Here is a 16,048-nt window from a genome sequence, read left to right as displayed (position 1 = left end):
TAGTTAGATTTAGACTTTTGCACTCCATGCAAAGCGTATTCTTTCTGAAAATATTGTGGCTCTGTTTATGAGTGCTTGTGGAAACAAGAGCATCTAAAATAAACATGTGCTACATGTTCTTTATGTATTATGTTTCCTATCTATCACTCTTTTTGCTAGGATTGAAAAATAGTGAGAGTGTGTACCTACCTAGCCATACATTATGACCATATTTGGTAACACAAAATATGTCCTTATTCACAGACATAATTTGTCTACTTAAATATCACTAAGTGCCTGTTTAAGAAGCAAAGCAAGATAGTGAATAGAGTAGGGAAGAGACTCTTAATGGATCTTTATCTGGCAGTTCCTTCCCCCAAAACATATCTCAGCTTATTTGATCTGTAGAGTTATACTTTTATACCTTTTAAACCACTCAAATTTGTCTGCCTCTCTCCATCTCCAGTGCTGCTACCCTAGTTGTGAAAGATATTCTCTCTCCAGTTGTTGCTGCAGCCTCCTTATTGTTCTGTTTGGCCAAAACCTAACTGATTCCAGTTCATTCTTCCTCTATTTTCAAGCCAGAATAACTACTAAGATGCATATGCAAGATTCAGGGAGCTTCTCTAGGTGGGGATTCCCTAGTGAGTTTAATGTTTAGTCCAGAAAGGAGCTAGCCCATGCTGAGTAGAGGGATTAGCGTTTACAAAGGCTTTCATGTTGTGAACCACAGCAGCAAGCTCCATTGGAACAAGGAGGTAGCCTCCCCGAGACTGTGGTTCTTTTACGGTTAATAGTCATTTACCTCTTTGCATGCTGGCATCAGTCGTAGTACTTTATGGCAGTATATTCTTGCTTTAATGCAAATTCACGTAGCAAAATTGTATGCAAATCCAGATACACTTGAACCTTGCCCCTCCTACTCAGATGAATTTGGAAGACCTCTTCTGCTGCCCTTTATATCTAATCGCTTGCTTCTATTGATGCTTTACTGGACTGTTTTACTCTTTTGTGTGTGTTTAGTTAAGAAGAAGAGCTAATTCTTAATGGTGATCAATATTTTGCCCAGTTCAGTAAATATCTTTAATGAGTTGGAATCCGCTCTCAAGGACCGAAGTTGCCAGATAAACTGTTAAGTGAAAACAGTGTATTATTAGCATACCCATTGTCCTGAAAACAGTACAGTTAGCACAAGTACCATCTATTAATTAGCTAACCGTTCTTGCCTCTTACCCAGTTTTCGAGAGTAGGAGTTTGTTGTGTTCTTCTATTGCTAATCAAAATTAGACACGACTACAGTTGAGAGTAAAGCTGTAAAATTGGAAATAAACCAATTAGTGTAAGTGATGGTAAAGGTGTTAAAGACGATACAAGTATACTGTAGATGTAAAGTTAAAGTTAATTTAGAATTGGTCTAAAACTATAAATTGATATTACTACTTTTAATAATTGATATTTAAATTATATTTGAATTATTGTAATTATAATAGTTGATATTATTATTTACTTTTTCTGTAGTGGTGACAATACAAGGCTGAAGCACATAATCATACTGGCTTATTTGTGGTAATGGTACTTTTTTTTTTTTTTTGAGATGAAGTCTAGCTCTGTCACTAGGCTGGAGTGCAGTGGCACAATCTCAGCTCACTGCAACCTCCGCCTCCTGGGTTCAAACAGTTCTCCTGCATCAGCCTCCCCGAGTAGCTGGGATTACAGGCACACCTCGCCACACCCAGCTGATTTTTTTTTTTTTTTGTATTTTTAATAGAGTCGGGGTTTCACCGTGTTGGCCTGGATGGTCTCAATCTCCTGATCTGGTGATCCCCCCACCTCGGCCTCCCAAGCTGGGATTATAGGTGTGAGCCACCGCGCTGGGCTGGTACTTTGTTGTTTTTAACCTTCAGTATTTTCTGCTTTATTTCTTTGATAAATGTGGTTATAAATATATGTAATTCATATATTGTTGATGTGTTTCAGTATGATCATTAGACAGATTTCTGTCAAATATGTCATGTTAAAATTTAGTTGCACTTAAACATTGAGCTTAAGCAACTTAGATGTCATTTTCTGTTTTCCTAAATACATTTTCATATATTTATATAGACTGCTTATTTTTAGAAGTTTACTGTTTTCTACCATATGTTTTTTATAGTCAGAGGCACAATTTCTACTTAGGCTGTTCTAAGGTTCTGTGATGTAGGGTGATGGAAATGACTCATTTAGTTAGAATCGTATTTCATAGCCTAGGTTTTTGGAGCACATCGTATTTCATTGAAAGAGAGAAGAGATGCTTGAGAAAAAGGAGAGTCTGTAAACTAGATAAAAGTAATGGCATTTTTGCCAACTTCATTACCTCATCATCAGCACCTTTGGAGTTACTTAGTGGTGCCTCATCAAGATAGGATCCGTTTACTTTCTTGTCTATTGTTTTAGAATTCTCTTAACCAGTATCTGAGAAATTGCAACTTGCTGATTTAAATTCTTAGATATTTTCTTGATTTAAGCCAAATTTGAGGTTGGATTTTAGCATGCAGTGTAACTTTTTAGTATTTGTTACTTGGATAAATAACTATTTAAAAGGCAAAAATAGTAGAATTCATACACTGCTTATGGGTGTGCTGAATGGTGTGATTTCTACGAAGATTAAGTGTGAGGTATGACATATGTAAGCTAGTTAATTTTCTTCCTTCTTGCTTTTCTTTTTAATGTCATAATAGTTAAAACTCTTTCAATTGAATGAAAAATACCATGGAGCTATTAACAGAAATACAAATGTGTTAAAAAATGAGACTGTTGAAAAGCTTATGATAGTTTCAGAAATAATTCTGCTACAGGATAGAAAGTGAGAATTTTCATTAGAGCCAAACAAAGAGGTATAAGGTTTCACTTTGGATGGTAGGAGGAGGCTGGAATGAAGCCTCAGTGTTCTGTAGGAACCAGTTGTTAGTCAGCAATAGCATGGTTTTCAAAGTATGGTTTATTAAAAATTTCCCACAAATTCAACCTGATTAATTTTTTAAAAGTTGTGTTGTAGATAAATTGCTGTCCTTATTCATCATGGCTATCAATATTAAGAAATAATAGTATTCAGGGTTCCAGGATAATAAGTTTTGCGGTAGTAATTCAATATGTAAAATGAGTTATCATTTCACAGGTTATAGTTCAGTGGCATAAGATAATTAGGGAAAATAGACACCAACAAAATCTTCACAGCAGTTAGTGATTACATTCCTCTTAACACATGTTTATCAGAAGTATAACAGAAAATACAGAAATTTGTGTTTTCCCTGTTTTTCAGGGGGGTATCACTGACAGAGGCTTGCTCTGTTGCCCAGGCTGGAGTGCAGTGGTGTGATCATAGCTCATTGCAGCCTCAACCTCTTGTGCTCAAGCAGTCCTCCCACTTCACCCTCCTGAGCAGCTGGGACCACAGGCATGTACTACCACACCCAGCTAATTAATTTTTTTTTTTTTGTAGAAATGAGATCTCCCTATGTTGCCCAGGTTGGTCCTAGAACTCCTGGGCTCAAGTGGTCCTCCCGCATCAGCCTCCTAAAGTGCTGAGATTACAGGTGTGAGCCACCACGCCCTGCCTCACAGTCTTAAAGGGGAACATTAATTGACATCAAACAACCAGTTAAGTGGCAAAGTTGGAGTCTAATTCTGGATTTACTGGATTTCAGAGTACCAGCATTGCTGTTTCTAGTATTGCTGCCTCTAGATGTTTTCATTAAAAAAACCCAAAACTTTTTTAAAGGACTAAATTAAGGTGTGGTGGATATCAAATGTTTCTGTTATTCCATTTGTTTCCTTATTTAGTCATTTCTTGAGTGAATAAACTTGATCTAGTTTATGGCTTTCTTCTTCTTATAGTCTCACTCTTGAATTGCAGCCCTTCAAGAATTCCACATATTGGAAAACAGTTCGGGATAGATTTTCATGTGGTAGAAAATGAGTCTACTTTGGGAAACCGCTTTAATTGTGTAACAGTGAGTCAGCAGCAGTGTCTTAGATTGTAGTCTGCAGTTGAGACCTGGCATTAGCATCTGTCTTTATAAGTATCTACTGGTAATAAAAAAATCTCAGTATTAATACCAGTGCAGAGTACTTTTTATAGATATGCGAAATCCTTTCGAATTGATACTTCTGAGTTGATTTGCACTCTGGTGTATGTATATATGTATGTGTGTGTGTATATATATATATGTATGAGTATTACTTTTTTTAATACATACTGTATGTATATAAAGAGTATTACTGTTTTTTTAGTGAAACCCAATCCTCTTCACCTTATAGACTGCAAAGTTTTTTTTTGGTGTGTCTCAGTAGTGTCTTTATATTTTTAACTTGCCATGTAGTTGCTTTACTCATTGGTTATCTAGGATATTTTGTGCTGTTCTTAATGAATTCTAGAAAGATTCTCTTTTAAATGTATCCTCTGTCTTATGGAAACCTGTTAATCTTTTTATCTAATTCATTACCATTTGCACCATTTGTTGTAAGAGCTAATTCGTGTGGCATTGTGTTATCTTTTTCTTTTGGTTTGCTAAGTGACCACGTTTAGAGGAAATGGACTCCAAGCTCCATGAGGACAGAGACCATGCCTGCTTTATTCACTATATACTATGTTTTGCACAGTACCTGGGACACAATAGGCACACAGTAAAGCTGAGTACACAAGGTTATGGCTAAATGCAAATACAGCAGAAAAAAACACATGGTCATAGTTAACTCTAGCTTGAGTCATCAGCAGTACTGATGGGGAAGCACGTGTACAGGAAAAGGAGGAGAGGAGGATTCAGTCAGGTTTTTGGAAGTATATGAGAAACTAATAATAGTGATAACATTTTTAAAGACTTATATTCCAGGCACTGTGTTATGACGTTTATATGTATTATTTATCTGTAGACAGCACAGAAAACAATACCACAACAAAAGAATAATCAAAAGGTTGGAAAATGTCCTAGTTAGCTTAAGTAAAAGGAGGCTGGGGTGATTTAGGCACAGAGCACTACTTATAAAGATGTTTTGTTCAGGAGTTGTTGAGGTGTTGGTGAAGCATAGAATGATTTTCACTTAGATTTTGATTAAGAGTAAATTTTTAAAATTTTAAATCGAAATAACGGGAGCCAAGACATAAATAAAAACACTGCATCGCATCGCAAGGAAGTCATTCTTGATGTAGAATGCTTTGAGTTGGATATTAGGGAATGTTAAGCTTATAGAACTTCTAGAAGGAAACAAATCTTTCCTAGATGGTCAGATAGGCTGGATCAGATAAGCTTTCACTTTCCTTTTTTTTTTTTTTTTTTGAGACAGCCAAGTAGCTGGGACTACAGGTGCCTGCCACCACGCCTTGCTAATTTTTGTATTTTTAGTAGAGATGGGGTTTCACCGTGTTAGCCAGGATGGTCTCGATCTCCTGACCTCGTGATCTGCCCGCCTCGGCCTCCCAAAGTGCTGGGATTACAGGTGTGAGCCACCACGCCCGGCCCTCACTTTCCTTTTAATCAGATGCTATGATTTGGTCAGATTGTATATAAATAATTCAGGGGGAAGATGTTTGGGTTTTTTAATTTTCTTTTTGTTGCATAAATTTAGAGTTTATTTAATTTGAAGGTAGAATAAATGAGTAAAAGAAAAATTTCCATTGACTGAATTTCATTTTATGACCCATAGAGGGATCAGCCCATTGCATGCCTCTCCCTGTAATACTTGGAGAATTCTAAGTTATTTGTAGTTAATGCTTTGAAAACATATATTTTATTCCTGTTTTGCTATTACAAGAGTTTTTTTTATCCTGAAAACATTTCTACTAGAATGCAAAGGTTGTGCTTATAAATTCTGCAGTGTTTTAATGTTTTAAAAATGTGCTTCAAAAGATGGATGGAAAATTGCTGTATCATACCTTTCATATGATGTAAAAGAAAGTCTTTTTTTCCTTTAATATAAACTGGAAGATGAAATAAACATATTTTTAAGATAAATTTCTTTGAAGGCAGATTAATATAATTTGGTACATTTTTATTTTGGAGGAAGTATTGTCAGAATAGTTGTATATTTCTCCTCCTTTGATGTATGTTGTTTGTGAGGTGTCTTTAAAATCCTTAAAAAAGTAGTTACTGGTTACTTTGAAGTCATGAAACAGGAAGTATGAATACATGAGAAGACAGACATAGGAATGAACTTAATCAGTTTAAGATCTTATCACTGCTGGCAACTTGCCTCATATCCAGCTTTGAATGATGAACAAAACTGGGTCTGCACATCATTTATACTTTTAGCATGTAAACAGACTTGATCTTTAACCAAGAGTTGTTTATATGGGGGCGTAATAATTTTCTACTCCTGAGAATTGTGGAATAAGCATTTTATTGTTTTTAATCATTTAATATACATTATTAACAATTTACTAGATGCAAAGGATGGCTGGGCCTGTGGCCAGATGATGAATGAGACTTGCTACTATGTCAGTGTATTTACTATAGAGCGTGGAAGGTAGACCTAGTGAGGAAAAAAGAGGTACTCTGTGGGAAATGCTGCCTTTAAGCTGAAATGAATGTGAAGGTGAAATCAGCTACCATCAGGTTCCAAACTGAAACACTGATATTATGATACACATCTTCTCTTAAAAGACCTATTTTAACAGCATGGTTCATGGTAGAGACACGTTTGAGAGGAGGAAAACAGGCAGAGGATAGGCCCTTTTAAAATCCCACCCCAATGTTATAATTGATCACCCTGCAAAATTAGTTTGAAATGCCTACAGAGATAGAAGGTCGAATAGAAATTGCTAAAATGGATCAAACCAAAGATTTAATCTCAGCATTCAATTGCCACTAGTGACCTATAGTCAAAAATAGTCTACTGCTATGGGAGAGCATGATTTTCATCTCTGATTGTCGCGTAAAGGTTAAGTATTGCCCTGGTTCTTTGACTAGTGATTTATAGCTTTGTGTCAATTTTTTCCAGAACCTTTTTGGTTCATTTTATTGGATTTCGAGGTATTGGCTTTCATAATTTTATTTCATGCTTTGGGAAGTAAAATTTATCTTTTTCTTACTTATCTTATTCATTATCAAAACATTTTACTAATTTATATTTTTGAATTTGATGACCCAAAGTCTATGGACTATTCATGCTTTTATAGATTGTGTTATCCCAGCTATTACTTTTTCTAACTGAGTCCCTTATTTGATGATACTTTGGTTGAAATTTTTGACCTTTCGTTAGTTCTGCCACATTTGGGTACGTTTCTCTGTATGAAATAGAATACTTTTTCTTGGAATCTGTGTTACAACTGACATGAGGGGGACCCCTCTTTAAATGAGTTTCTGATCTTTGAACCAATTTCCCCAAGCTCAAGATGACTCTGATGCTTAAAAAATTCTCATTCCCCTTGAAGGCAGGGATTGTATTTTATTGATTTATTCCCAGGGACTAGTATAGTTTTCTGATTCCAATGAGCTATAAATAAATGTTTAATGAATAGCTAATCTATTGAATAATATCCATTGAATAAATGAATGAATCAAATATTATCAAAGGTTTAGTGAATATCTTTGTAGGTTAAGTGATTTCCTTTTATCTGAGAAAATACTGTGAAATAACTTCCAATAAATTATTTAGGCATAGTAGCTCTTAAGATATTGTTTATAACACTAGCAACAACCACCCCTAAACACTGGTCGTAACCTTAAAGGCACTATTATTTAACACAATGAATTATGCATGTCATTCTTTGGCTACTTGAACCAGGAGAATGGGAAAATAATGGTGATATACTAAGCTGATAGGAGGCAATAAAATTGTTACCTTCATACATTATTATTATTATTATTATTATTATTATTATTATTATTATTATTTTAATCTGTTGATAATTCTGTTGTGATCTTTATTTATTTATTTATTTATTTATTTTTATTATACTTTAAGTTTTAGGGTACATGTGCACATTGTGCAGGTTAGTTACATATGTATACATGTGCCATGCTGGTGCGCTGCACCCACTAACTCGTCATCTAGCATTAGGTATATCTCCCAATGCTATCCCTCCCCCGTCCCCCCACCCCACAACAGTCCCCAGAGTGTGATAGTCCCCTTCCTGTGTCCATGTGATCTCATTGTTCAATTCCCACCTATGAGTGAGAATATGCGGTGTTTGGTTTTTTGTTCTTGAGATAGTTTACTGAGAATGATGATTTCCAATTTCATCCATGTCCCTACAAAGGACATGAACTCATCATTTTTTATGGCTGCATAGTATTCCATGGTGTATATGTGCCACATTTTCTTAATCCAGTCTATCATTGTTGGACATTTGGGTTGGTTCCAAGTCTTTGCTATTGTGAATAATGCCACAATAAACATACGTGTGCATGTGTCTTTATAGCAGCATGATTTATAATCCTTTGGGTATATACCCAGTAATGGGATGGCTGGGTCAAATGGTATTTCCAGTTCTAGATCCCTGAGGAATCGCCACACTGACTTCCACAATGGTTGAACTAGTTTACAGTCCCAGCAACAGTGTAAAAGTGTTCCTATTTGTCCACATCCTCTCCAGCACCTGTTGTTTCCTGACTTTTTAATGATTGCCATTCTAACTGGTGTGAGATGGTATCTCACTGTGGTTTTGATTTGCATTTCTCTGATGGCCAGTGATGGTGAGCATTTTTTCATGTGTTTTTTGGCTGCATAAATGTCTTCTTTTGAGAAGTGTCTGTTTATGTCCTTTGCCCACTTTTTGATGGGGTTGTTTGTTTTTTTTCTTGTAAATTTGTTTGAGTTCATTGTAGATTCTGGATATTAGCCCTTTGTCAGATGAGTAGGTTGCGAAAATTTTCTCCCATTTTGTAGGTTGCCTGTTCACTCTGATGGTAGTTTCTTTTGCTGTGCAGAAGCTCTTTAGTTTAATTAGATCCCATTTGTCAATTTTGTCTTTTGTTGCCATTGCTTTTGGTGTTTTAGACATGAAGTTCTTGCCCATGCCTATGTCCTGAATGGTAATGCCTAGGTTTTCTTCTACCTTCGTACATTATTGATAGCTTTATAAAATGGTTAATCCTTTTAGAAAACGTTTAAAAAATAAATGTGAAAGACCATTACAACATCCATACTATTTGACTGAATGTTATAATTTTTAGAGTCTAAAGAAATAGTGCAAAATATGGAACTAACCATATATGCAGATACATTATTTGCAGAATTATTTATACAATTGAGGAATAGTGTTAAATGTTGACAAAGTTAATTATCTCTCTGACTCAGTTTTCTTTCTTTTTTTCTGAGACAGGGTTCTCACTCTGACTCAGTTTTCTTATCTGCAAAATGGAAATAATAGTACCATCCTCATGGAGTTGTTATGAAGAATAAATGAAATAATGTTATAGTGCTTTGAATAGTATCTGGTATTTATAAAGAACTCAAATTTGCCACTGCAACTGCTGTTGTATTTTATTATTGATGCACAGGTCTCTTATTTTCTGTTGTGCCAGGCATTATATTAGGTATAATAGGAGATAAATAAGTAAAAATTCTGTACTTGTTCACAAGGAACTTAAAATACATTTGGTAGTAAATGCAACATATTGAGAAATAATTTTAATTCCAGATCACAATATGGTGACACAAGAAAGTGTCACAGTGCTACGAGAGCTCTAATACAGGAAAGTGCGGGTTACTTTGGGCTTGTGGGGGTGGAGAAGATGACATTTTCGCTGGGCTTTGAATGGTAGAATTCTGAGAGGTAAAATTCTGATAATGGCATTTTATGGGGCACATGAACAAAGACAGAGATGGGAAAACAAAGCAGGTATCTAGTGGATTAGAATTGGGATGTAACTTGGAGGAGAGACAAAGAGTCCTCATATTGGAATGGTTGAATGCCAAGCTGAGGAATTTTTATTTTATTCATGTGACATTGGTAAATGAAGGTTCTTGTGACTTGATGAGAACTATGTTTTAGGAAGATGGAATATCTGCAGAATGGTTTGGTGGAGGTAGGAGAGATAGGAGCTGGGAAGACTATTTTTTTCCACTTATTATTCAGAAACATTTGTTGCTTACCTGTTCTTTGCCATGTTTTATGCTTTGTATTGAGGATAGTACTGTATCATATTTACTTATTTATGATTGTTAGTAATATTTCAGGACATAGATTATGAAAAGGAAACTAATGTGTTTCTGGGAATGAGAGGTAGACTAGATGTCAAATTACAGAAGTTGGATGACAGATTTCTAAACCTTATATATGGAGTAAGGGAGAGGTGGAAGTTAAAACTAGCTCTTGGGTTTTAAACCTGAGGGACTTGGGGATTTATTGCATTAGTCTTAATGCACATTGGAAAATAATGAGGATGAGCTAGTATATGTGGACAGATGATGGTTTATTTTTGACTGACTTTGAATTGCCAGTGAAACATTCATTTGGTGCTATGTAGGGGGTAATTGGCAATGTGGAAGTGAAAGTTGAGGGAGTTGGGTGGCTAGAGAGTTGAAGAATATGGATTTGTACTTAAGTTGCATGCGTAGAGGTGGTAGATGAAGCCATTGAAGTGGATGAAGTTGTCATGGGAAAATGTGCAGGTAGGTGTGTGTGTGCAGTTAGTAGAGGTGGTTTGGGAGCTGAACGTTGTTTATTTTAAAAGAACCACTTTATTACAATTTCATATGCTCATTATTTAAAAAATCTTTTGGTACAGAGGTGTGTCCAAAAAAAAAATCTTACTACCTAGAAAAAACTGTCATTAATAACCAGAAAGATCATTCTAGATTTCTTTTTTCTTTATCTTTTTTTTTTTTTGAGGTGGAGTCTCGCTCTGTCACCCAGGCTGGAGTGCAGTGGTGTGATCTCGGCTCACTGCAAGCTCCACCTCCCGGGTTCATGCCATTCTCCTGCCTCAGCCTCCCAAGTAGCTGGGACTACAGGCGCCCGCCACCACGCCCGGCTAATTTTTTGTATTTTTAGTAGAGACAGGGTTTCACTGTGTTAGCCAGGATGGTCTCGATCTCCTGACCTTGTGATCTGCCTGCCTTGGCCTCCCAAAGTGCTGGGATTACAGGAGTGAGCCACTGCACCTGGCCTAGGTTTCTTTTTATGTATATTTGTAGGTAGTAATTTTAGAAATGTGTTATGTATTGAACAGTATATTTTATTGCATACCATAAGTGAGTGTAACAGCTCAAATCCCTCAGTTGTTTGAGGTTATGACATTTGTGTTGAGTTCCTAAAACACTAGCCCTCTGAACAGGGCTAGGAGGAGGTATCACTTGCGGGGTTGAGTAAGTATGTTCAAGTACTTGGCCTTGAGAGTGGTGACTCCTAAAATTTTGCACCATAGGTGGTTTGCTTGTCTCACCCTAACCAAGGTCCTGCCTGTAAAACAATTATAATAATAAACATTCCTTTAGAATAAGTTTGTATTATCATCAACTAAGTTGCAAACATAATTTTAAAAAGCAATACTCCCATGAGACTTTCAAAGAAAAGCAACAGTCTCCTGACCCTATCCCAGCTTGCCTCCCATTTCTACTCTATAGAAACAATGTTTTTCAGCTCTTTCAGCTTCCTCCCTACCAGGATTTACCACCCTATTTGTAAATACTATGTTTTTATTGGTCATTCTTGCTTTATTATATTTACACAGTCTAAATTTATTTGAACATTACTGAATACTTTTTAAAATTTTTGTCTTTTTCTGGAGAGGCAGCATCTTGGATTTAGTATGTCATTGGGATTTTTATTACTGAATGATCCAGTCAAAATTATTGTTTTGTGACTTCGAAGGGCTTCTGTGTGAGAACTTGTTACATAGACTTTGTTTTTACTAAATCCAGTAGAGTATCTACTTACCTGTTTTTGGTTTCTTGTTTTTCTGCATGGGGTCTTGCCCTGTTGCCCAGGCTGGAGTGCAGTGGTGTCATCACGTCTCACTGCAGCCTTGACCTTCTGGGCTCAAGTGACTCTCCCACCTCAATCTCTGAGTAGCTGAGACTACAGATGTGCGCCAACACACCCGGCTAATTTTTACAAAATTATTTGTAGAGATGTGGGCTTGCTCTGTTGCCCAGGCTGGTCTTGACTTCTTGGGCTCGAGTGATTCTCCCACCTCGGCCTCCCAAAGCACTGGATTATAGGCATGAGCTCTTGCACCTGGACTACTTGTCTGTTTTTATAGTATCAAAATTGGCTATTATAACACTTGATGCAAATTTTATTTTTTCTTACCTTTCCAAATAAAAGGAAATTTAATGAAGTTTTAATGAAGTGTAAGTTACCATGTATCTATGTCCTTTAATTAAAATATTTTTTGTTTTAAAATTTTAACTTCATTTATTGAATGTAAGCTGTGTATCAGGTACTGACATATACATTTTGTACATGTGAGCTCATTTATTCCTTACATCTCATAGGTACCAAGATCCCCATTTTATGAGTGAAAAAATGAAGTGTTAAGGAAATTAAATAACTTGCTCAAAGCTGCAGTGATGGTAAATAGTGGAGCAAGAATTCAAATTCAGGAATGTCTCATTCCTAAGTCCATATTCTTAACCACGGAGTTAAACTGTACATTGTCCTCTCTTTTGGATTCCCAGATTTCTCCAGGAACCTTTCTTTCTATTTCCTCTGTTGAAATGTTACTTTTAAACTTAGTCTTTAAAATTTACATAAAATTAGCTTTTGCAGACTCAAAATTTTTTTCAAACCATATTAAAGATAGAAAAGCTTTATGCAGTGGTTTCTTATGATATAATGACAAAAAATATAAAAGAAAATATTAATCTCACTCTCAAGCATTTAGGGCTTGTGAGAAGGAAGAGGAAAAACTGATATCATCAGATTACTTACTTTTTGCTTAGTTCACAAATACTTAATACTTGTTTAAGGTCTTGTGTTGTGTATCTAAAGGAATTCAGAGACAAGACAGCTTTGGCCCGCAAGAGTAATTCAACTAAAAGTAAGTATACCACAAGGCAATATAAATATCCTGTGAGAAGGGTAAACTAGGTACTGTGTGAATTTATTGAAGACCTAGGGAAAGCTTGTAGAAAAGGAAATTACTTGAGATGGGCCTACTGAAGGCTGGGTAGCACAATTAGGGAAGGGTCATTCCAGTAAGAATTTACAGAGGCAGAAAACTACTGGGAGTGTGTTTGTGGAACAGCAAGTAGTTCAGTTTGACCAGATTTTTTTTTTTCCCCAAGGTCATATAGCTAGTAAGTGCTAGAAATGGAATTGGAATCCGAGGCAGTCTGACTCCAAAGTCTGCAGTAATAGCTATCTTGCTAAACTGCTATAACTTTACCAAGAAATTTATATGTCTAGTCACCCTTGGCTGTGGGGGTATATTGTATGATGAGGTTGGCAGGAGAATCACTTGAACCCAGGAGGCGGAGGTTGCAGTGAGCCGAGATCACGCCACTGCACTCTAGCCTGGGCAGCAGAGTGAGACTCCGTCTCAGAAAAAAAAAATGAAAAAGTATAGGGGAAATTATTTAATTTGTCACTGCGCATAGTAACTGTGCAGTTGCTGTGTAGGAAATGAAGATTACAAACAACAGTTCCTGCCTTAGAATTTGTAGTCTGAGAGATAGGAGAAGAAATTTGGGATCTGCTGGTGCAAAAAGTCTGTTTTTTAAGTAATTGTGTGTGTGTATGTGTTGTAAGTTTTGGGAAAAAATTTAACTGAGAGTGGCATTTGAGTTGGATTTTAGAGAGTTGGCTGTTTGCACAGATTGAGGATGGAGGGGGAAGGCTTTGGATTAGCGTGAGAGTAGACACAGGTGGAATAGTATAGAGCATATTTGGAAAATGGCCAGTAATCTATATTAGCAGCAATGTGGGAAGTGAGGGGGTCCATTAGAGATGATGCTAACCCTAATGTGCTAAGGAATTCGGACGCTCTTTTATGGGTGTCGAAAGTGCTTCTAGGTATTGTATTTTAGCAGAATTGGTATCATCCAATTTCTATTTTAGGAGGGTTATTCTAGGTGAACTAACTAAAAGGTGGTTAGTGTAATGCTAGTTTGGAAAATGAGCTTCTAGAGGCCTCACTTCTGGGACAGCTCCTGGCTCTGTCATTCTGGGTAATTTTGGTCATCTGACCAATCCTAAAATTACTCATCTGCAAAATGTGGGTAATGCTAGTACCCTCCTTACAGCGCTGCTGTGATGCATAAATGAGATTATGCTGCAGAATGCTTACTGCATGTTCTAACAGAGTAAGTGCTCACACAAAAAAAGTTAGGTATAAAATAATGTTCTGGAAAAGGGCAAAGACTAGAAGTAGAAAGACTATATAGGAAATAGGAAAGTCTGTACTATTTAATAAGCTGTACAATATGCGAGGGCTTAGAAAAATTATTATCGTGGCCTGGCATAGTGGTTCACACTTGTAATCCCAGCACTTTGGTAGGTTGAGGTGGGAGGATTGCTTGAGCCCAGGGGTTTGAGACCAGTCTGGGCAACATAGTGAAACGTCGTCTGTATAAATAATACTCTATAAATAATAAACAAAATTAGACGGGCATGGTGGTATGTGCCTGTAGTCCCAGCTATTGGGGAGGCTGAGGTGGGAGGATCACTTGAGCCTGGGAGGTCGAGGCTGCAGTGAACCGAGATTACACCACTGCACCCCAGCCTGGGCAACAGAGTGAGACCCTGTTTCAAAAAAAATTATTATTGTGAAAATAACACTTTATTGCATCATCAGAAGTCTTAATTATGTTTGGTTAGAGGTGTGTGTGTGTGTGTGTGTGTGTGTTTAAAATAAGTTCTATGATTATGCAATTGGTTGGTTTATTTTTTTGAGACTGGGTCTTAGCATCTTAACCAGGCTGCCCTGGAACTCCTGGGATCAAGCAGTCCTCCCACCTGAGCCTTGTAAGTAGCTGGGACTACAGGTGCGTGCCACCACACCCAATTTGCAGTTGATTATTTTAAATCCCATCAGTGTATGTATTACTCATGCATGTAAGAATAATCTTAAGTGTATAAGAGCACCTGTTACTGACATTTATAGATGTGTGGTGGTAGTGGAGGCTGAAATGACTAGTAAATCCAGTAGTGCATGAAATCCCTGATTGTAAATGGCCATTGGTAGATTTTTCACTTACATGTCCTCACTGTGCAACATTTTTCTCTGACTGGGTCATGAGAAGTGTGAAGAGAGGGGAGAAGAAAGGGCACAGAAAGGCATAAGCACCATTTATGTGGGTTAATGGTTAGGAATTATTCCTGGGAGGGTATAAGAGTTAGAAGGAAAAATCTTTTAATATGAAGGTGCTCTGTATCCTCAAAGTTTGCAAGGACTATAAATAAATTCCATGATATTTGGTCTCTAGGATGGCAGATTCAGGATTAATTAATTTCACTCAAGCTTAGAAGAGAAATTAGGGTTAGTCAGAACTATAATTGAGAAGATTGAATTTTTCCTTGAGTCATCAAAAACCGCTGGCACTGTGGTGACTTGACTTTTTCTCTGCCCCATACCTACTACCTCACCAAACTCCCTTGTCCCTACCATCAAAATGCGTCTTCAGTTGGGCCACTTCTCACTACTTCTATTGCTACCACCCTAGTCTAAATCACTCTCACTTCTTTGGATCAATGCAGTAGCCTTAAACTGGTCTCTTGGTGTGATTTTTGCCCTACTTGGTCTAGTCTTTATAGAGCAGCCAGATTATCCTTCTCAGTGTAAGGAGAGTCATGTTCCTCTTTTGCAAAAAGGCTCTCAGTAGCTCCTCATTTCAGGGGTTCTTTGCATAGCTTGGAAAGCCCTGCCTGGTTTGGCCCTATTTCTGGAGCCTTTTCTCCTATCACTTTGTTGCCCTCACCGTACTGTTGCACCACACTGGACACAAGTGTGCTCTTACCCCGAGGCCTTTGCAGCTGTGCACCCATCTGCCTAGATCCACGTAATGCACTCAGTTCATTTAGGCCTCTGTTCATGTCCCCACCTCACAGAGGAAGGAGTTCTCTGAAAGCCTTATCTAAAGCAGCAGTCCTGAGCATTCTTCATTCCTTTAACACGCTAAAGCACTTATCACTACCCAATAAATAATC

General features: G+C 37.0%; 1 protein-coding gene and 1 long non-coding RNA gene across 8 annotated transcripts in view, besides 1 other annotated feature; both read left to right on the top strand.

Annotated features, from left to right (window-relative positions):
• The window catches only part of ARHGAP32 (Rho GTPase activating protein 32), a 314,573-nt gene that overhangs the window by 26,129 nt on the left and 272,396 nt on the right, over window positions 1-16,048 (top strand). The window lies entirely within an intron of this gene.
• LOC399975 (uncharacterized) overlaps window positions 1-16,048 on the top strand; it is a 49,387-nt gene that overhangs the window by 29,661 nt on the left and 3,678 nt on the right. The window lies entirely within an intron of this gene.
• Window positions 377-877: an enhancer, noted in NCBI's record as "OCT4-NANOG hESC enhancer chr11:129122522-129123022 (GRCh37/hg19 assembly coordinates)". NCBI's record gives its function as "activates a minimal SCP1, AML or CMV promoter by ChIP-STARR-seq in naive H9 embryonic stem cells {active_cell/tissue: H9 hESC(naive)}" and the evidence as "EXISTENCE:reporter gene assay evidence [ECO:0000049][PMID:30033119]".

The sequence above is a fragment of the Homo sapiens genome, chromosome 11 (assembly GCF_000001405.40).
Source record: "Homo sapiens chromosome 11, GRCh38.p14 Primary Assembly".
NCBI lineage: Eukaryota > Metazoa > Chordata > Mammalia > Primates > Hominidae > Homo > Homo sapiens.
This window is presented reverse-complemented; position numbering and strand designations above follow the sequence as displayed.